Source organism: Homo sapiens, chromosome 18 (assembly GCF_000001405.40).
Source record: "Homo sapiens chromosome 18, GRCh38.p14 Primary Assembly".
In the NCBI taxonomy this organism is placed as follows: domain Eukaryota; kingdom Metazoa; phylum Chordata; class Mammalia; order Primates; family Hominidae; genus Homo; species Homo sapiens.
In genome coordinates, this window is record NC_000018.10 from 78,952,540 (window position 1) to 78,975,265 (window position 22,726).

The window sequence follows — 22,726 nt, forward strand, 5'->3', positions numbered from 1 at the left end:
TGCCAAAGGCTCCGTGTGCAAACCTTGCCATCGCCTGCCACCAGGGAGGCCTGTGTTTTAGCACTCAGCTGCTAAAGAACATCTGAATGTTTGTAACATCCACTGCATTTGCCCATAGGGACAATCACGTAACAGGTTCCAGCCACACCAGGCGGCCCACTCTGTCATCTGTGGCCGGATGTAGAATTCTCCGGGGTGTCCAACAATTAGAAGTCGCTGAAAGGCAGCCTGAGCGTCCATGGACCTGGTCTTCATTTCCAGAACCCTCGTGCCTGCCTCCGTTTGCCTCCAAATGCAGTCGGTTCTCAACCTGAAAGAAGGAAGCTCTGCTTCCCCAGGTCCACTGTGATGCTGCCCAGACCAGAAGCCAGTGGAGACACCTCTGCTTGCCGGTACTCAGCCCCGCACGGCAGGGCCTCCCGAGGCCTGTCACTAAAAAGCTAGGGGCCGGGGAGTACTGGGGCACTGCTCCATCTTGTTGGGGGCCAGCAGAGAACAGGCAGCAGCATCTGGCCCTGGATCTGTCGGGGGTTCACGCCCACTGAGAGGAGCCTGGTCCACAGGAGGGAGGCCAGGAGCAGAGCACCCAGCACTCGGACAGCGCTGCCCAAGCATCCTTGAAGGCCAGTGTTCTAGAAGAACAAGGCTGCCTCATGAATAATGAAAAGCTGATAAAAGCAGAAGATAACAAGATAACGGCTAGCATGAGAAAAAGTTATCACCTGGCTGGGTGCGGTGGCTCACGCCTGTAATCCCAGCACTTTGGGAAGCTGAGATGGATGGATCATCTGAGGTCAGGAGTTCAAGACCAGCCTAGCCAACATGGTGAAACCCCATCTCTACTAAAAATACAAAAATTAGCCTGGCTTGGTGGCGGGCACCTGTAATCCCAGCTACTTGGGAGGCTGAGGCAGGAGAATCGCTTGAACCCAGAAGGTGGAGGTTGCGGTGAGCCGAGATCACACCACTGCACTCCAGCCTGGGCGACAGAGAGAGACTCTCTCAAAAAAAAAAAAAAAATCACCTGTAGTACGTTCAAATAACTCAACTCATAAAAACCAAACAGGATCCGCGTGAGCCCAGCAGAGAAGCAACTCGACAACCACACTTGCTGCTGCCTGGTTACTGCCAGTGGCTGTGCCCTTCGGGAGAAGCAGATCCGGTCCTCGCCTTCCTCTCTGTCTGCCGTGCCTGTCACAGTCCTGCCCGAGGCTCTTTCTCACTGTACCAAGCTGCAGTTTCCAAATAAATGATTACACCACCGTTGGCTCGCAGTGGCGGAGTGGCAGGGTGGATAAGCAGTGCGTGGGGCTTCACGATCACTCTAAGTCTTCATCAGACACGGTTCCAGTGGCTGCACTCCTTTATCTTAAGCATGTCATTCCTAATTTCCCACCGCGGATCCTTCCACAGCATTTCATATTGTTCTCACTTGCAGGACACAGGCCCACACAGCACAGAGGACCTTGGCTGAATAAGAAAGGTGCCCCAGAGTTCTTGCAGCCAGGTAGTAATCGCTAACACATAAATCTTGACTTTTTGCATTAAAATTAAAAACTCTTTTTTTTTTTTTTTTTTTTTTTTTCAGACAGAGTCTAACTCTGTCGCCCAGGCTAGAATGCAGTGGTGCGATCTCGGCTCACTGCAACCTCTGCCTCCCAGGTTCAAGTGATTCTCCTGCCTCAGCCTCCCGAGTAGCTGGGATTACAGGTGCCCGCCACCACACCCAGCTAACTTTTGTATTTTTAGTAGAGACGGGGTTTCTCCATGTTGGTCAGGCTGATCTCAAACTCCTGACCTCAAGTGATCTGCCCACCTCGGCCTCCCAAAGTGCTGGGATTACAGGCATGAGCCACCGTGCCTGGCCAAAATAAAAAACTCTTTACTATTGTGAAATAAGATGAGACCAAACAGTTGATGTCGAAACTGTAGTAATAATTAAAAGTCACAACTAGTTATTCTATCCATATTCCAGAGTTTATATCCAGGGAGATAATACTACATACGTAAGCTTTTTAAGCTTGCAAGGAAAAGAAAAAGTTTGAAATTAAAATGTGTTTTTATTTATTTATTTTTAAGACAGAGTCTTCCTGTGCCGCCCAGGCTGGACTGCAGTGGTGCAGTCATAGCTCACTGCAGCCTCCAACTCCTGGGCTTAAGCGATCCTCCCACCTCAGCCTCCCAAATGCCTGGGACGACAGGTGTGTGTCATCACACCCACCACTTTTATTTTTATTGTTTTTTGTAGAAGCAGAGTCTTACTACATTGTCCAAGCTGGTCTCAGACTCCTGGCCGCAAGCAATCCTCCCACCTCAGCCTTCCAAACTGCTGGGGTTATAGGCATGAGCCACCACACCCGGCTGAATAGATGTTTTTAAAAAACATAATTGCTTGCTGCTTCCGGGGATTTTTTTACCAAATGGGCATTTTCTCCCAAAATTTCTGCTAGCTCCACCAGGCAGGGGAGCAGCCTGTGGTTTCTGTCTCTCGGGGTTCCCAGCAGCCACACCGCACACATGATGGGGACTGTCCTTGCAGCGCGACACACACAGCCTGTCCCACAGCGTACACCTATATCCCTCCACAGGCCACTTCTGCAGGCCAGGAGAGCCTCGTTGTGCCCACCACACATTACCAGGGGCAGCCAGGCGTGCCGGGAGGCACTGACGGAAAGCAAGGCACTCCCGTGCATAAACCATATCCTGCTCTCAGCATTTCAACACACCATCTCCCCCAGAGAAGTACACCACAGGGAAGAGAAAAAAGAAAACTTAGCCCGAGACCCGTTAGTTCTCAGGGAATTTATGACGTGAAACCCTCACGCCTCCCTTCCTGCCCAGGCGGCCTGTATTTCCGTGCGGCCTGTCCTCCTGGAATCATTCGGAGACCATGCCTTCGCCCAGAGCCACCTCACTGAGGTCTAGACGTTCCCTGGACGGCAAGCTCGCGGGACACGCTCATGGAAAAGGCAGGAGTGGTGAGTGCTGGATGGTTCTATAATGAGAATTCAACGTGCATTTCGATTTTAGGCAAATCCAGAAAGTGAGCTCCCGGAAGAGTCCCCTAAGGCCGGTCTAGATGAGGCTGGGCCACTCGAGGGCTGAGGCTGTTCCCTCGCTCGCTCGAAAACACAGCAACGCATCACAGAGCCTTTAACGTTTAATGCTGAAATTACACCTAAAGACAGTTGATTAATGACAACATCCTAAAAATACTAAGTAGAGCCTTAGATGAGAGAAGAGAGTAAGAGAAAAGTAGCAGAAAAGCTCTGTCAAAGATACAAGTCCAGCAGCAAAGGCAGAGGCCAGAAAACCCGCTGGCTGATTTTCAACACAAATGCATTTGAGATGTGGTGAATTTCAACACATCTCAACGTGATAGTATGTTAATTCTCTTTGAAATTGATGCATTGTGACAAAATAATAGCAACTAAATTATCTCTCTGCCTTGATATGACCAACATATGTGTTTTACGTGGAGTAAGAGTAGCTAACATGTCTGTGTTTATAGTCTTTGTAAAACCCAATGCCACGTGACTAGGAGGAAAAGAATTCTAACTAATTCCAATACGAATTTAATAACAGTTCTCAGCAAGGAGCTGGAATTTGGAATCGTGTTCAGATGGCCCTGGCAGCACGTAGGTGCACTGGGCACAGCTAACAGGTAACGATGAGAACGAGATTTACCTGGAAGGGCCCAGCACAGGCCCAGTAATTAGTGAGCTCTCCAGTTATTTTTAAATTACCCAAATATGCCATTTTTTTGGATAGCCTTGTTTTTTTTGTTTTTGTTTTTGTTTTTGTTTTTGAGATGGAGTCTCACTCTGTCGCCCAGGCTGGAGAACAGTGACGCAATCTGGGCTCACTGCAAGCTCCGCCTCCCAGGTTCACACCATTCTCCTGCCTCAGCCTCCCGAGTAGCTGGGACTACAGGTGCCCGCCACCATGCCAGGCTAATTTTTTGTATTTTTAGTACAGACGGGGTTTCATCGTGTTAGCCAGGACAGTCTGGATCTCCTGACCTCGTGATCCGCCGGCCTCAGCCTCCCAAAGTGCTGGGATTACAGGCGTGAGCTGCCGCACCTGGCCAGCCTTGTTCTTAATTAAACACAAAAATGCAAAGAGCATCCAAAAAGCATGTTTTTATATTACATAATTTACATAATATGTATGTTATAAATTCTATATTTAAGTTTTTCAGCTAACTGATTTACAAACATGAAACCACAGTATAAGCAAAATCAATCAATTAATAAAGTACAAAATTCAAGCAAAATAAATTTGCCGTTTTTACTTTTCAGATAAATATGAGATGTGTGCCTCGATCATAAAAACAGCTGTATCATATTTCAATTTTCCTTTACACATGTAGGCATGATCTAACTTTTTGAAAATATATTACATAGCATTGCTCTGGAAAGTGAGGATTGGGATAAGGGTCTGTTGGGGTATAAGTCAATTTACAATTCTTCATTCCTCTGCCTCATCTACCAACTTCTCATATGTAAAAATCTAATTACTTGCTGATATGGTTTGGCTCTGTGTTCCCCACTCAAAACTCATCTCCAATTGTAATCCCCATAATCCCCACGTTAGGGGAGGGGCCACGTGGGAGGTGATTGGATCATGGGGAGGTTTAGGGAGGGGCCACATGGGAGACGATTGGATCATGGGGAGGCTTAGGGAGGGCCACATGGGACGTGATTGGATCACGGGGAGGTTTAGGGAGGGGCCACATGGGAGGTGATTGGATCATGAGGAGGTTTAGGGAGGGGACACGTGGGAGGCGATTGGATCACGGGGCGGCTTAGGGAGGGGCCACATGGGAAGTGATTTGATCAGGGGGAGGTTTAGGGAGGGGACACGTGGGAGGCGGTTGGATCACCGGGAGGCTTGGGGGGGCCACATGGGAGGTGATTGGATCACGGGGAGGTTTAGGGAGGGGCCACGTGGGAGGTGATTGGATCATGGGGAGGTTTAGGGAGGGGACACGTGGGAGGCGATTGGATCACAGGGAAGTTTAGGGAGGGGCCACGTGGGAGGTGATTGGATCACGGGGAGGTTTCCTCCATGCTGTTCTCCTGATAATGAGTGAGTTCTCTGGAGATCTGATGGTTTTATCAGGCAGTTTTTCCTGCTCTTGCTCGTGCCCTCTCACCTACCACCATGTAAGACGTGCCTCTTCCCCTTTCACCATGACTGTAAGTTTCCTGAGGCCTTCCTAGCCATTCGGACTGTGAGTCAATTAAACTTCTTTCCTTTCTAAATTACCTAGTCTCAAGTATTTATTTATAGCAGTGTGAAAATGGACTAATACACTTGCCTTTCAAAGGTGCAAAGATTAAAGAAATCAAAATCAAGAAGTGAATTACAAGGGCCTAAACCCTGCAGAAAATATTAGTCAATGAAATTTGCTTTTCATAAAAACATGCCAAATTGGCCCTTTTTAAAAAGTATCAGTGCCATTAAAAAGCAGCCAGACCAACTAAAAAGAGATGCTGGTAAGTTAGAGCTACGTGTTTGTCAAAAAGACCATGTGCCAATTTTAGTTTATTGTCATTTCATTTTCACCCATTCTTGCCTTTTGTTTTTAGTTTTTCGAGTCTTCTCCTGCCCCACCCATACCCAAATGAGTATTTATATTTGTTTGTTTGGTGTATTTCTGCAAGCATGAATGACCAGCTGCTTTGGACGTGTGATTCTGAATTCACCCCACCCCACTGCCTTAGTTCCGTGAGTGTGGCCTTCGCTGAAGTTTACTGTTTCCTGCATGCCACTTAATCACTAATGACCATGGGGACTTATTTCAAATGCTGAGGGAGTTAGCCCCCACAGCTTAAAGTGCTTTTGTCTGTAATATTAAATGAAAATGTTGTACATTGAACTAAGAACACAATAGCTCAGAAAAAGTTTAAACAACCTGGATCTTACTTTTCAACCAGGAAAATGAATTTCAGGTTGAAATATAGATGGGAAAACATATAGCTTACTCTGACAATAAAATGACATGGTTTCACACTATCGAGTCTTAATTTTTATTCATCGTAACTCCACTTAATTTGGAACTAAAAACACTGCTAGAAAATAGTATTTGTATATCACATGATAGGAAAGGGAAAAGTTGACTCAATAAAGGTCTATCAATAGGTGTACACTGCTTATTAACTAGTCAAAATTTTTTTCAGACATCAGTGGTCTACAGAGATAGCCTATAAAACATCCTAATTGCATACATTTTATTTCTTGCAAGCATATAGAGAGCACATTCCTCCTTTGATATTATTCAATGAGTCATGCTGGAGCTGTAGAAGAATTTCAACTGATGTTTTACAGAAATGATACAAACTGCAACGTTTTAACAGTGTTCACATATGATAGAAATTATTAAATTGATAATATCTAATTTTCCATAACACCTCGCGTTTTCTCCTCCAGGCCAACAAACTGCAGAAACAATGGTCAGTAAAACAACTAAGAGAGGTCCTGAACTTCTTCCCTCAGACAATGACAGAGGTTTATGCAGCCACATCCCACAGACGTTGTGGGTTCAGCTCCACCACAATAAAGTGAACATCACAATAAAGTACGTCCCACTAGTTTTTTGGTTTCCAGTGCATATAAAAGTGATGTTCATGGTACATTGAGTCCATTAAGTGTGCAACAGCATTGTGTCTAAAAAAAAGTGCATACATTAATTTTAAAACAAATACTTTATTGCTAAAAAAAAAAACAAAATTCTAAGGATCCTCTGAGCCGTCAGTGGATTATTAAAACAAATACTTTATTGCTAAAAAAAAAAAAAAAAATGCTAAGGATCCTCTGAGCCATCAGTGGATCGTCATCTTCTCCCTGGTGGGTCTTGCCTCGATGTTCACAGCTGCTGACTGATGGGCGTGGCTGTTATTGAAGGTTGGGGTGGTCTTGATGATTTCTTAAAATAAGACAACAGTGAAGTTTGCCCCATCAATCAATGGGGCCCTTCCTTTTGTGAAAGGTTTCTCTGTAGCATGCAACGCTGTTCGATAGCATTTTACCCACAGTAGAACTTCCTTTAAAATTGGAGTCCGTCTCTCAGATCCTGCCACGGCTTTATCAACTAAGTTGACGTAACATTCTGAATCCTTTGTTGCCATTTCCACGACGTTCGCAGCATCTTCTCCAGGAGCGGATTCCATTTCAAGAAACTACTTTCTTTGCTCATCCGTAAGAAGCAACTCCTCATCTGTATGAGTTTCATCCTGAAGTTGCCGCAGTTCAGTCATCTTCAGGCTCCACTCCTAATTCTCTCGCTATTTCCACCACACCTGCAGCTCCTTCCTCCGCTGAGGTCTTGAACCCATGGGCATTGGAATCAACATCCTCCAAACTCCTGTTCATGTTGATATTTTGACCTCCTCCCATGAATCCCGGATGTTCTTAATGGCATCAAGAATGGGGAAGCCTTTCCAGAGGTTTTCAATTTACTTTTCCTTATATCCATCAGAGGAATCACTGTCCAGAGCAACTCTAGCCTTCCAAAGAATATTTCTTAAATAAGACTTGAAAGTCTTATTACTCCTTGTAATTTAGACTGCTGACTGCAGGCTGTGTTAGCAGGCATGGAAACAGCATTCATCTCTTTGTGTGTCTCTGTCAGAGCTCTTGGGTGACCAGGTGCATTGTCAATGAGCAGGAATATTTTGAAAAGAATCTTTTTTTCTGAGCAATAGCAGTAGGTCTTAAGTGCGGGCTTAAAATATTCAGTAAACCATGTTGTAAACAGACGTGCTGTCATCCAGACTTTGTTGTTGCATTTCTAGAGCACAGGCAGAGGAGATTTAGCATCATTCTTAAGGGCCCTAGGATTTTCAAAATAGCAAATGAGCACTGGCTTCAACTTAAAGTCACCAGCTGCATTATCCCTGAACAAGAGAGTCAGCCCGTCCTTTGAAGCTTTGAAGCCAGACATTGACTGCTTACTAGCTAGGAAAGTCCTAGATGGCATCTTCTTCCAATAGAAAGCTCTTGGTCTACATTGAAAATCTGTTGTTTAGTGTGGCCACCTTCGTCGATGGTCTCAGTCAGATCTCCTGGGGAACTTGCTGCAGCTTCTCCATCAGCATTTGCTGCTTCACCTTGCACTTTTTATGTTACGGAGATGGCTTCTTCCCCTAAACCTCATGAACCAACCTCTGCTGGTTTCTAGCTTTTCTTCTGCAGCTTCCTCACCTCTCTCGGCCTTCACAGAATTGAAGAGAGTTAGGGCCTTGCTCTGGATTAGGCTTTGTTTGAAGGGAATATTGTGACTGGTTTGATCTTCTGTCCAGACTGCTCAGACTTTCTCCTTCTCAGCAGTAGGACTGTGTGCTTTCTTGTGGTTCACTGGAGTCTCAATTTCAGTTTCCTTCACGAACTTGTCCTTGGCATCCACAACTCGACTAACTGTTCGGTGCAAGAGGCCTCGCTCTTGGCCTATGCCAGCTTTTCATATGCCTTCCTCACTAAGCTTAATCATTGCTAGCTTTTGGGCTAAAGTGAAAGACCTGCAATTCTTCCTTTCCCTCGAATACTTGGAGGCCATTGTAGGGTTACGAATTGGCCTAATTTCAATGTTCTTATGTCTCCGAAAATAGAGAGGCCCAAGGAGAGGGAGAGGGATGGAGGAAGGGCTGGCTGGTGGAGCAGTCAGAACACATCCAGCATTTATCCAGCAAGTTTGCTGTCTCATGCGGGCACAGTTTGTGGTGCCCCACAAACTATTTACTATTTACAATAGTAAATAACATCACAGATCCCTGATCACAGATCACCATATATCATAAGTAATGAAAATGTTTGGAATATTGGGAGAATTACCAAAATGTGACACAGAGACACAGAGTGAGCACATGCTGTTGGAAAAATGACACCCATAGATTTGTTTGATTCAAGGTTGCCCCAAACCTTGATGCTACTCAATGTTACAAGGATTTTTTAAAATTTCAGTTTAATATAATTTGGGTGAATTATATGGAAGAAAATTGATAGTTTAAATTGATATTCTTCTACATGCAACATTGAGTAACCTGATTCTAGTATTTAGACAGCGGGTACTTTTATATCAAATAATATTAGGAATGTACTTTCTCTTTTCCTCCCAAATGTTTGATTATTCATAAGTTAAAGGCAATCCGGGTACACTTGAGTTCCTTTAATAGTTGTTCCTGAAGTGTGTGGGATGAATGTTTGTAAATTAAATCAGGTTTTTCCATTGAGCAGCTTTATTACAACTTCGGAAATATTTATCTTATTTGATTCTTGATCTTCAAGATTCCCACACACCTTCACATTTCCCCACACACATTCACACACTCACACACACTCATGCTCACACACACACGCTCACACACTCTCACTCATATGTACTCACACACGCCCACACTCACACATCGACACACACTTATATACACTCACACGTGTATGCTCACACACTCTCATATACACTCACACACATGCCCACACTGACACATTCACACACACATGTTCACACACGTACTCACACACGCATGCTCACATACATACTCTCACTCATATACACACACATGCTCACACACACTCACACGTACACACACATGCTAACACATGCTCACATACACGCATATGCTGTCACACATACTCACACATACACTCAAACGCTCACACTCATACACTCACGTGCATATGCTCACACATGCTCACACACACGCTCACACATACATGCTCACACACAATCTCATACACACATGCTCACACACATGCTCATACACATATACACGTGGTCACATACAATCATGCTCACATGCTCACTCACACATGCCCACACACCCATACACACACATGCTCACACTCACACATTCAGATATATTTACACACACACAAATACACACAGGCTCATATTCACAATCATACACCCACACACGTGCTCACACCCACATAGTCAAACATGCTCACACATATACTCTCACACTCATCTCACACACATACTCATACACTCACACATGCTCACACTCACACTAACAAACTCACATATACTCACATGCATTCATACTCAAATACACTCATATACACATTCACATTCACACACATGCACTGACACTGACACACACATATTCACATACATATACTCACAGTCACACAAACATGCTCACACACCTGCTCACACTCATACTAATACACACATGCTCACACACATGCTCACACTCATTCACTTATATATTCACACACACAATCATACACACACATGCTCAGACACATTCATATGCTCACACACGTTCACATACATGCTCACACATTCACACGCATGCTCACACATGCTCACGCACCCACTCTCGCATACACGCATGCTCACACACTCATATTCACAGATACACATGTGCACTCTCATACACTCACACAATGCTCACACACATACACGTTCACATCACACACACATATACTCACACACATATATACTCATACTCAAACACACACATGCTCACACTCATATTTTTCACATATCCCCGCTCACATACATGCTCACACACATTCACTTATATATTCACACTCACAAATACACACATTGACACACAATTATACACCCACACGCATGCTCACACACATATACTCAAACACATGCTCACACACATTTACATACACACATGCTCACACATATACATGCTTTCACTCACACTCATGCATGCTCATACACACTCATACACTCACATCCTGACACACACATATACTCACAAATGCTCACACTCATACACTCACATGCTAACACTCACAGTAACATACACTCACACATTAACACGTACTCACACTCAGACTCATATACTCACACAGATATACAGACTCACAATGCTCACACACACACTCACATACACACATATGCTCACACAGACATACTCACACTCATATACTCACACATTCACATATATGCTCACATTCACACACATACTCACACATATGCTCACACACATGCTCACACTCACAGTCACGTATCCTCTCACATGCTCACACACATTCACTTATACTCATACACACATGCTCACACTCACACACTCACACTCTGTTGTGTTAATTAGGCTTCTTAGTCTGCTTTCTGCTGCTATAACAGACCAGACAGATTGGGTAATTTATACGGAAAAGAAGCTCCTTTGGCTCATGGTTCTGGAGGCTGGGAAGTCCAAGAGGCCGCGTGGCACCTGGTGAGGATCATCCCATGGTGGGCAGCATTGCATGGTGAGAGCACACGACCCAGAGAGAAAACGGGGGCCAAACTTATCCTGTATCCAGAGCCCACGCCCACAGTCACTAGACCTCTCCCTATAATGGCGTTAATCCATTCACGACGGAGGAGTCCTCACTGCCTAATCACCTCTGAAAGGGTCCACCTTTTAATACTGTTACAATTAAGTTTTCAACACATGAACTTGGGGACACGTTGAAACCACAGTATTAGGCAATGATTTGTCATCTGTCACTATAGTTCAATCATTTCATCAAGCAGTTTCCTTTTGAAATATAATCACTCCCTTAATAATCGCTTCTATGAGTCTTATATTTAGTTCTTGGAACAACAAAATGCTGAGTTGAATCACCATTATACTGCAACATTAAAATGAGTTTCAGAGAAAACACAAAGTTCTATTTAGACTTTAATGACAAAGAGATAATGTCCTTTAACAAAGGTTTTGCTGTTATTATTCTTGCCATGATAGTTTTAAGTCTGTTCCTTGAAACTAATTTTTCAAATGAGTGCACATTTTCTAAAAGCATTATAATTTTTAATAACTTGAAAAGTCTGTGACCATCATAACAAAAATCGATTTTAAGAATTCACGGTTTGGGCTTAGGTGCATGTGTGTTCATTCCAGATCACCACAGACTGGAAGTGCCTGTTAGCTTTCCTCTCATTGCTGTTTTTCATTTACAAAAATGTTTAAGTCATCTACAAAAACAGAGCATTTGGTACTTTTGCCTTCAAAAACACACATATATTCTGGGACTGGTGAAAACATTAATGTTTGATCAAATATGTAATTAAAGAGGTAACTGTAAAAACGGTTATATAATTCTAGAACTAAGAAATACATTCTTACACAGAGAGGCTTGATCAAATTCTTATAAAGGGGAAAGCTCATTGAAGTCAAGTTGATGGTAGGGTAAAAAGTTTAAAAGTTTTTTTTAATTTAAAAAAAAGGTGGGGGAGCTTAGTTTAAATGAAGGCTCCACCACCCCTTTCACTGGAGGACGGTCACTTCCCAGGACCCATAGTCCACACCAGCCACAGGAGTGGCTCCTGGGGAGCAAAAAAAAGGGAAAGGCCTGCCCTGTCCAGAGCCCGCAAGTCAGCGCCCACATCCTGACATGGCCGACCTGCAGGCTGCACCAGCGCCGCCTTCTCCGGAGCCGTCGGTGGGACCCAGGCTGCCCCTCCACCCGGCCTGCACCAGCACTGCCTTCTCTGGGAGCCGTCGGTGGCACCCAGGCTGCCCCTCCACCCGGCCTGCACCAGCGCCGCCTTCTCCGGAGCCGTCGGTGGCACCCAGGCTGCCCCTCCACCCGGCCTGCACCAGCGCCGCCTTCTCCGGAGCCGTCGGTGGGATCCAGGCTGCCCCTCCACCCAGCCTGCACCAGCGCCGCCTTCTCCGGAGCCGTCGGTGGGATCCAGGCTGCCCCTCCACCCGGCCTGCACCAGCACTGCCTTCTCCGGAGCCGTCGGTGGGACCCAGGCTGCCCCCCCACCCGGCCTGCACCAGCGCCGCCTTCTCTGGGAGCCATCGGTGGCACCCAGGCGGCCCCTCCACCTGGCTCCAGGCTCAGCTCCTCCACTCCCAGATTCCGAGGCCAGGTCCCGTCCCTCTGCTCCCGCCCACCCCCTGCCTGGGACCAACCCGCTCCCTCTCCTCTCGCACTCCCACGACCTCTCAGATCCAGCTGTCCCTAGCCGAGTCTCCGCCGCTCACTGGCCCAACCCCGACTGAGGCCCTCCAGTGTCCCCTCCACGTGACCTCCCGTGTTCCGTTCTCCCACGTGGCGCAGATCAAAAGCTCCGGGCCAGCCTTCATCCCCCTGCCCTCCCACCATGCTGCAGACACACCCCCGCACTGTCTGCTTCTCAAACCGTCTGAAAGCCACACAGCTGAAGGGTTTCTCTCCACTCGAAGGAGTCACAACTCTTCAACCACAGCTTCTCTTCATTAAAAAATAAAATGTTTGTCTCCCTCAACAAACACTCACATGCACAATCCATCATCAATTCCTGTTTGCTCTACCTTCTACCTAGTTCTGGATTGTAGAGTGGGTTAACTTAAAATGTACGTCTCCTGACATCTATGTAGTTCTGGATTGCAGAGTGGGTTAATTTAAAATGTATGTTTCCTAACATACTCAGTGAGCGAACTCCATGCCTTCCACTTCCTTCTCTCTTCCTCTCTTAGTCTCTAGGAGGGCAGCATGTGGGGCCTAAGGGTCACGCCCCTCTGGGCAGGGACGCCGCCATAGAAGAAGACACACACATCTGACACCCACCCCACTGCCCCAGCCCAAGCCCAGGCCAGGCACCCCTGGAGGCCTCGCCCTGGTGACTGCCCTCCCACCCACCCCCTGTTTCTTTACAAGTTTCCCCTCTCTTGACCTGGTGCTAGCCTGGTTCCTTCCAGGTCGGCCCAGCGCCACGGAGGCTCCTCGAGACTGTCTTGCCCACCCCAGGAAGCTGGGTAGCATGGGTTGCCCTGCCGATTTCTCTTCCACCCTCCTCTCTAAGACCTCTCTCTCCCTCCCCCTGACTCGAAGCCCCCACCCATTGCTGACCAGGGAATTCTCCACCTGACGCCCCTGGTGTGGCCTGAGTCTATCTCTTCCAAAAGCACAGCTCAGCCATCTGCTCACACCAGAGCCACAGCCTGGGGCAGGTGATTCCCCCTCCCCCACCAAGGGGTGCCCTGGCATCCAGTGCGCAAAAGCCAGTGGTGCCGTGAACACCCTCATGTACAGGGCACACAGAACACCCTGTGCTGTGAACACCCTCATGTACAGGGCAACCCCACCATGAAGAATGACCTGCCCCGAACGCAGGGTGCTGGTGGCAAGAAGCCTGCCCCAGGGCTCTCTGGAGGTCAGCACGGCAATGGCTGCCCTAACACAGGAGTCTGGCTGCAGGTGAGGGGGTTTCCCATTGAGAAGCCCAAGGAGCTCTTCCCATTACAACAGAAACTGTCCCTACCCGGAGTTCCCCGCAGCTCAACCAATCACACTCACATGCTAAAAACAGAAGCTGCCTGAAAACTTTTTTCTGGTGAAGTATCCTTGGAAAAGGCTGAATTACACTGACCAGAGGTTTCTTCACTGTAGGAAGTGCCAGGGCCTTTAATACACTTTCATGTCAAGAATCCCAGAGGGTTGTACAGCAGGCAAGACTTCTCAAATTTCTGTGACCATAAAACACTTCTTTCAAGGGACTTGAGGAGCCCACACTTGGAGGAACACCTCCTCTGCCCAAGCGTTAGGGTTTCCATGGTGAGTTGACCACCATGACCTGCTCTTCAAAGCAGTTAGATTATATTTTAAGCTTCATCATGCAAATAATTTATCATCTTCAGCAATTTCCTCAAAAAACATTATTACAAAAATAAAAAATAAACTGAGCAGACCTACGTCCTACATTATGGGTTATGATGAAAGCTTACGAATCTCCAAAAACTCAGAAACCACACATGCACCTATAAACATAGGAATATATTTTGGGGGTCACTGATCCCAGGTCGCAAACTCTTTCATGAACAGGAACCAAGAGGCTGCGGATGGACCCAGTAACCATCAGACAGCTGATGGCAAGACAGAACCGGGATCCGCCCCGGGTCTCCTTTCCATCACCGGTTTGAATGGTTTTTATAGAATGCTGTCATATGGAGATGGCACCAAGGGTATATCTAAGTCACATGATCTAGGCAGGTCAACCTGAAAATCACCCAAACGGGTTCCTCAAAATCTTCCAGCTAAAAACCACTGGTTGGCAAAGAAATAATTGTTGTTTGAGATATCCCAACTATTCTGATTTGATCATTATCCATCGTATGCACAGATCTAAAAGCCTCATACCCCAGAAATATGCATAATTATTACATCTCCACTTCCAAGCGATGCTGGGCTGACCCACAGTCATGGGGCAGGAACATCCATGGTCATCGTCATCACCCCTGGGATTTGGAGAGTTTTCTTTTACAGCACATTATCAAAGAAATAGCTGATCAATAAAACATATTTCAAAAGGCAAAAAAAATAAAACAGTCCGTGGTTGAGATAGAAAGTAGATGTATGGCTTCTGCGATGGGGGTGAGGGAGTACTGAGTCACTGCTGTGGGCAGTTGTGTTTTTTTTTTGTTGGGGGGAAGATGAAACAATTTGAAACCAGATAGGAGTGGTGTTTGCTACTGTGAATGCACAAATGCTATGAAATTGTTCCCCTTACCATGGTTAACTTTATGCGTTGTGAATTTCACCTCAACTGAAAACAGAAAAGCAAAAAATGGGTTGCTTCCATTTCCACAGTCGTTCATCTCTACCACCGGCCAGCTTTTCCTGGGAGGACACATCTATTAACAGCAGGTCTCTTGGGAATGTTTTCAGAGTATTCTTCTACCAAATAATATTATGTTACTAAAGCATATTCACCTTCTGCTATTTTTAATGGTACTTTAAAATGTATTTATGTCATAAAATGTTTCTTCTTAAGTCATTCCTATTTTTAGAAAACATGGTCATGGTATACGAGTCTACCTTACTTCTTGAAACCTGCAGGTGTATTTAATAAGCTACAACCTGAAATTGCAGAAGACACCCATAATCATATGACTAGATAGGAACATTGTGTTCAGACTTTTCAAAGAACCTTATTAACAGACAGAGGAAAGATATAAAATACATAATTCAAGGAATGGAAGAACCTTATTAACAAACAGAGGAAAGATATAAAATACATGACTCAAGGAATAGAAGAACCTTATTAACAAACAGAGGAAAGATATAAAATACTCAAGGAATGGAAGAGATGACAGCACATTCACTCCACCCCATGGCAACTTAGAGAAATGGGCTGGGCTGGGCTGGCGCCCCGAGACGGGGTACCAACACCCTGAATCTTGTTTTCAACCCTGTCTCTCTTGGCTGCTGAACCCACCAGCACCAGATCTCTCTGGAAACAAGTCAGGGTGCCCTCCCACACCCTCCTGAGCCTGCTTCCCAGTCTTCTCGTTATCCACGGCCCTCCTCTACCTGGCGTCTAGGACTCCTCGTCCAGCATCTCCAGGAAGTCCTGTTTGATGTTGCTGCACTCTCTCTACCCTTCTAATCACAGGAGTCTGTAGTTTCTAGAACGCCTAATCTTGCTCCTGTCCTGATCCTTTTAATAAACTCTCTTCATGATCCTGCGGGGTGGTCTGGTTTTGCTACCTGCAGCTAAGTAACCTGTTTTCCCAAGCCTGCATCTGAGCTTAGGCCTCTCTCCTGCTGTGAGAACCCTCTTTGGCGGCACCCTGCCCCAGAAAATAGGAACACTTTAAAAATCTGTATATGCGCGTAGTGATGTTTTAAATACACACACATCTCTTCATAAAAGAGAAAATAGAAAAGCAGCATGTATGACATGAAATCCCAGGTGGTTCTATACAGACTCAAGGTAAACGGCATGCAAAGATGACGCAGGCCCATCAATCCTCTCCTTATCCCCTCTCTATAGACAGACGCAAAACGTTCACTGATTTTTGATCATCGCTGTGGCAAAGCCATTGTTATAACAGCATACCACACCCTTGTGATACTGGAGTACAAGTTGACCATCAAAGGCTGCTATTTCTCCCCGCTGTCTAAGGAAAAGTACTCTGCATTCATTTCACTGACAGAAAAGCAAGCGGCCACCATGAGTGCTCCCTCTTGTCTTCCTCTGGACGAAGGGGCTGCAGGGAGGTGTTGGGGAGAGGGCGCTGAGGACGCTGAAGCCGCAGGCGCATCACGGTCTCAGCACCGGGCCACGTTCCACAGTGCAGAGGCCATTCTCTACAATGGCCCACTTAACAGTTTCAGAACACAAATGTGCCTGACGGCATGAGGTGGCCACGTTCACATTCATGCGAATTCCCTGTGGCACATTGAGATCTTTGCACACTTCGGAGTGAAGTGTTGATCACATCTGGGAGAACGAACCAACCCAATGGCCAGCCTGTGGCCCGGGCGGCAGAACTGCTCAGCCGTGACGGTGCCACTGGTTGAAGCATTTCCTGAGAACGGCCCCCTCTCCCCACACTTGTCCACGACTCCATGGAACTGACTGCTGTGCCCTGGGCTGCACCAGCCCACAGCATACATCAGTGTCCTGGAGGGCTGGCCACACCCAAACTCCACGCAAATCATTTCTGCACCACTCCTCTCTTCAAACGCTTCATCTTCTCTGATTTAGCACAAACAACTAGAAGGTTCTGAGGACCAGGCGGGGATTCCTGTTTAAGGGGAAGCACCCTCCTCAAAAACAGTCCCTGGAAGGCTGGAGACAGCAGAGTGAGCTCGGCATTTGGAGAGGCCTGAGTGTGGCCTGTGGGAGCCCAGACACGCCACCTAACCCGGTTGCGCCCTGGCTTCCAGCACAGAGACGTCTTCCCAACAGCCAAGTGGCCTCGGACAAGCTATTCCAACTCTTGTGGCTTCAGTTTCCTCATCCTTACTAAGGGGACAATAATAAGTACCCAGGGGCTGGGTGCAGTGACTCACATCCATAATCCCAGCACTCTGGGAGACCAAGGCAGAAGGAGCACTCGAGGCCAGGAGTTCGAGACCAGCCTGACCAACACAGTGAGACCCATCTCTAAAAGAAAACTGAGTAAGTACCTTGCTGGGTATTGTATGGATTGTAAAGCCCTTAGCACAGGTAAATAATCTGACTTAGGAAGACATGTGCCAATACCATATGACACGGAGGAAATGAGGGGCAGCTCCAATGTCCTGTCCTCTAGCGTCTGGAGCAGGAGGGAGTACTGGCAGATGGGCCGGGCGGAAGGACCATGGTGCTTGCATGCAATGGATGGGCAGTGTATTCTTTTTTCCTTTTTGGGTTTAGGGAATACGTGCGCAGGTTTGTTTTGTGGGTAAACTCGTGTCACCGGGGTTTGTTATACAGATTATTTAGTCACGCAGGTACTAAGCTGAGTACTCAATAGTTACCTTTCCTGCTCCTCTCCTTCCCCACCTCCTCCAACCTCTTTGATTCCATGTGACCTCATCATTTACCTCCCACTTACAAGTGAGAACATGTGGCATTTGGCTTTCTGTTCCCGTGTTAGTTTGCTAAGGATGATGACCTCTAGCTCCATCCATGTTCCTGCAAAGGACATGATCTCTTTCTTTTTATGGCTGCATAGTATTCCATGGTGTACTGTACCACATGATACATATGTACATATGTACCACACGTGTGTGTGCACACATGTGATCTCAAATCACTCCCATCCCAACCTGGCACCCTCCAAGCCACCCATCCCCAGTGGCTCTGACGTCTGCTTAGAAGACATGGGCCGGCGCCTCCTAACCTGGGTCCATAAAGGCTGGTTGTGACACGTATTTGAGAGGCACAGACAATGACACCTGCCAGAGCTATGCGGCAGGCGATGGGCTGCGACGGGGATCTTCAGAGTCCACAGAGGAGGTCCTGCTGGAGAGCAGGAGGTGGCCGTGGTGGCCTGAATATGTGAGCAAGTATGACCCTTTCTGAAATTTGCCACAAGAAATAGACGGTTCCCATTAGCAAGTCTGTTTACCAAGCACTCAGAATCGTCGTGTTTTGGGAAATACCGAGATGCTTTTGTAACGGAGAAGGTCACTAAGACTGCCTGTGCTAGAGGCACTGACTTCCTGCCAGGCCTGGGAAGGACGTGTCTCGGGCTTCTCCGTGGAGGTATTTTTCTCCTATCACGTGTGTCTTATTGTCTGGGTGTGTCACATTCAAGTCTCAGCTCTTCCTTAAGGCCTTCAGCACCTCTGAGACAGAATTTTGAGTGGGCTGACCTGGAACCCCACACTACTCCGGCAGCTCCACTGAGGTCCCCTCTTCCCCAAGGCTCCCATTGTCTGCAACACCCAGAGCAAGCCCACTGCCCAGTCCCCAAGCATCGAGGGTCCTGGCCTTCTCCCACTCTCCTTCCACATCCAAGCCGGTCTGGGAGCCTTCGTTCCACCTCTGCCCTCTGTGGTCTCAGAGCCTCACGGGACCCCTCTGTCCTATTTTCCATCACAGGGTTCCACATGGCCACGTGACCCTCATGGATACTTTTACTGCCTTCCGCGTTTCTCACACTGCCTGGGGCTCCCTTTTCCAGCCTCTCATTTTCCTCCCCAGCCTCTGAGGACACCTTTATTTAAGGGAGGCCTAATGCCACCACTGTCCAGTCCCTGCTGCCTGCCCAGATCAACAAGCAGGCATGTCACGGCAGATTGTCCCTTCCTAGAGGAATGACTGTAATAAAACACAACTGCAGCCTTTCAGCGACTCACTGAAAGGCCCCAAACACCACTCCCAAGGTCCAGGCATGTGGGCAAGCCGGGCTGAGTAAGGCAGTACTGGCATCTCACTGCACACCGCACTGCACGCAGCAAGCCAATTTTACAACACATGGCAGAACTGGCTACTTAAGAGACAGCTGCAGTGAACACTCCTGAACGTGAAGAATCCTTGGTCGAGCAAAGAAAGATCCCTTCAACTTTCCTAGCTTGTGAATTTTGACTTACTAGGTTTTCTTAAAGCAGGGTGCACCTGCACAGCATCCAATCATTTCCAGACTTCAGGCAAATCCACCTTCCAACCAGGAGTTGAAACTTTTATAATTAATTCCTTGTTTTGACTTTGCGATTCCAAGAAAGTCAGTTTCTTTGGGGCCCATGCGTCTCCATCAGCGAAGGCCCCTGCCTGTGGCCCCTGTGACACCGTCCTTTCCTGGAGGCGCTGTGCCTTTCATTCCTCCATTTCTGATTTCAAGCAGAAAAGTGCTGATGAGTCAGACATCCACACTCCAAGGCACAGAATACGTGTTATCAAGCAAAACTCAGCAGAGGCGGGCCTGGGGGACAAAGGAGACACAGGAACCCCCGCAGATCCGTCACATCGTCGGGCGGCACAGGCTCTGCAGTGCTGGCCCTGGTTCTGCCAAGGTCACGAGGAGGCCTCACACCTGGCCCCCGGTTTGCCCAGGCCAGGCATCTCTGGGCGCCAGCACGTGGCCCCTGGACACACCTGCTGAGTATTTAGCTAAGTTTGAGAATGGCCCAGTTTGAGAATGAGATGATCACTCTACTCTCTTTCATGCTGGAGACAGCACTGATTCTAATCTATCTGAATCTTATACTTCTTCTCCTGTCCCTGACCTGCCAGGACAGCCCGAATGGGATCTGTGGGCCAACAGCTCAGTGCAATCGGTCACAGAGAAGACGCCCATCCCGGAACGCGAGCGGGAGCCACCCCCGCCCCCACACTCGGCCCTCTTTGTCCCCTGCTCAGCGGTCAAGGACCTTGTGGTGAGCGCCTCCCCACAAACGCAGCCTCCTGCGGAATTCAGCCCTGCACTTTTGCAGAGCTTGGAGCCAAGACAAATGACATTTGTGATCATGAGAAAGCCAAGAACGATGGAAACGGTAGCATCGAAGTTGTGCCGCTTTCTGAAACTTCTTTGAACTCGTTGTGCAGGGCCGGGGAGCTCTACGGCCAGGAAAAGTGCGCAGGGGGCGTCCCCGCGTCGGGCGCGCACACGGCCAGAGCACGGGGCTCCCCACGCGGGTTTGTCTCGGACGCAGAGGGGCCGCGAGCGGAGACATGGACGCGGCATTTCTCACGCCAGGAGCTCCCCGCGCGCGCTCCCCTTCCACAGTCCCCGCCCCGCAGGCCGAGAGAGGACCGCGGGGACCTGCGAGGGGCTGGGCCGTCCAGGAGGCCTCGGGTCTGCGCCCCGCTCAGCCCCCGCGGGACGCCTTTGGCGAGAGACGCGGTTCTGAAATCAGCTGTGGGGTTTCGCCCAGGCCCGTCCTCTGGCTGCGGCCATCCAAGTGGCCCCCGCGTGGTGAGGCGGGGCCAGACCCGGTGACCTCCGAGGGGTTAGAGACCTGGGCGGGGGCGGGGGCCAGTCCTCCTCCCGAGAGGGCGCCGCGGGGACACAGCCCACCGCCGGGAGCCAGCGGGACACGGGCCTCGGGCCTGACGCCGCCCACCCGAGGGTGCCCGAGCCCCGCTGGGACCCGCTCAGAGCCCTGGCACCGCCCTGGGACGGGACCGACGGGAGCGGGGGGAGCGAGGACCCGTCCTGCCGTCGGAGTGGAGCCCGGAGCCAGGGGGTCCCCCGTCCGCCCCCAACCCTCGCGGCCTCGCTAATGAGGAAACTTGGGGGGCGGGGTCCCCGTGCTGCCGTCCCCGCGCCTGTGGCCACATTCTTTCCACAGTCACCTCCCCGCCCCCATTTGGCGCGCGACGTCTGAGGTCGCGGATATGCGGTGGGAACAGCCCGCGCCGGGGCGTGTGGAATGAGGGTGCCCGGGCGCCCCTCCCTGCACGTGGGGTCCCGCAGGCAGCCGCGCCTTAAGGCCAGAGTCGAAGCCTGTGGGTGCGGACACAGGGAACGTTCGAGGAGACAGAAACTGGGGTCCTCCCTGCGTTCCACCCGCCGCACCCTTAAGCCTCGCTCTCCCCAAAACGCGCCCGAAACTCGGCCTCGACGGGGCCTCGGGGCCCGGCGACCCTCGCAGCCTCCCCTGGGCAAATCCGGAGCGCCCCTGGGACCCTTCGCACGCGCACGCGCACGCGCGCACTCGCACGGACGGGCGCGCGGGAAAAGGCTCGTCCCCGCGCTCAAGCAGCCCGGACTGGCGCGGGGGGGGCGGGGCGGATGAAGGGAAGCGAGGGGGCAGGAAATGCCGTTAATTGAGGGAAACGCGCATGCATTGCACGGGCGGCCTTTGATGTGCGCCTCCGGGCCAGCCCGGCCCCTCCACGCCGGCGAGCCCACCCGGCGTGCGCCCCTCTCCGCCGGCGCTCCCGGGAGCGCAGGGCCAGCTTGAGCGCCGAGGACGCGTGGCACTTCCAACGAGCAGGAGGCTGTGGGCTCACTCTGTCTCTAACGGGAGACAGTGCGTGGAGCCCTTTTTGTTTCTCCCCCAACCCCTGGGCCTCCCGGGGTGGGTCCGGAGACCGAGCGCTGCGGGGGATGACCACGCTGACCGCGGCTCCTCATGGGGAGAGGCCGCCTTGTCTTGACCTAATGTATGTACACATATAAATACAGTGCTCGTCCAAATGACATTCCACTCACTCTCCCTCCCCCTCTTTTTCTTTTCATCATCAGCAAATAAAGATTAGCCGGGAAGATTATAGAAAGCGTTTTCAGGCTGGCGCTGATCTTTATTCCAGGGGCTTTGTGATGATATTGATGATGATGATGGTCAAGTGGACAGTTTGATTTTTGTGTTTGGAGCTAGTTATAAAGAATCAATATTATATCAAGGGGTAACTTTCGTGATAAAGGACTTTAACCACTCTGGCTATTCATCATAAGTCTGTAGCAAGCAGATAGGTCAAAAGAAATTATATTGCACTAAAGAGTGAGTCTTCTTATCTCTCCCATACCAGGGGAATAAGGGACCAGCCGATCGATACAGTAGCTGCTGTATACTTCTTGCAATTATCAATAGCTGATTTCGCCTTTTGAGGCCTGCATCTATTAAT

At 48.8% G+C, this 22,726-nt stretch overlaps 2 annotated features.

Moving 5' to 3' along the window:
* Positions 19,678-20,275: an enhancer, noted in NCBI's record as "H3K4me1 hESC enhancer chr18:76732217-76732814 (GRCh37/hg19 assembly coordinates)". NCBI's record gives its function as "activates a minimal SCP1, AML or CMV promoter by ChIP-STARR-seq in naive H9 embryonic stem cells {active_cell/tissue: H9 hESC(naive)}" and the evidence as "EXISTENCE:reporter gene assay evidence [ECO:0000049][PMID:30033119]".
* Positions 20,276-20,872: an enhancer, noted in NCBI's record as "H3K27ac-H3K4me1 hESC enhancer chr18:76732815-76733411 (GRCh37/hg19 assembly coordinates)". NCBI's record gives its function as "activates a minimal SCP1, AML or CMV promoter by ChIP-STARR-seq in naive H9 embryonic stem cells {active_cell/tissue: H9 hESC(naive)}" and the evidence as "EXISTENCE:reporter gene assay evidence [ECO:0000049][PMID:30033119]".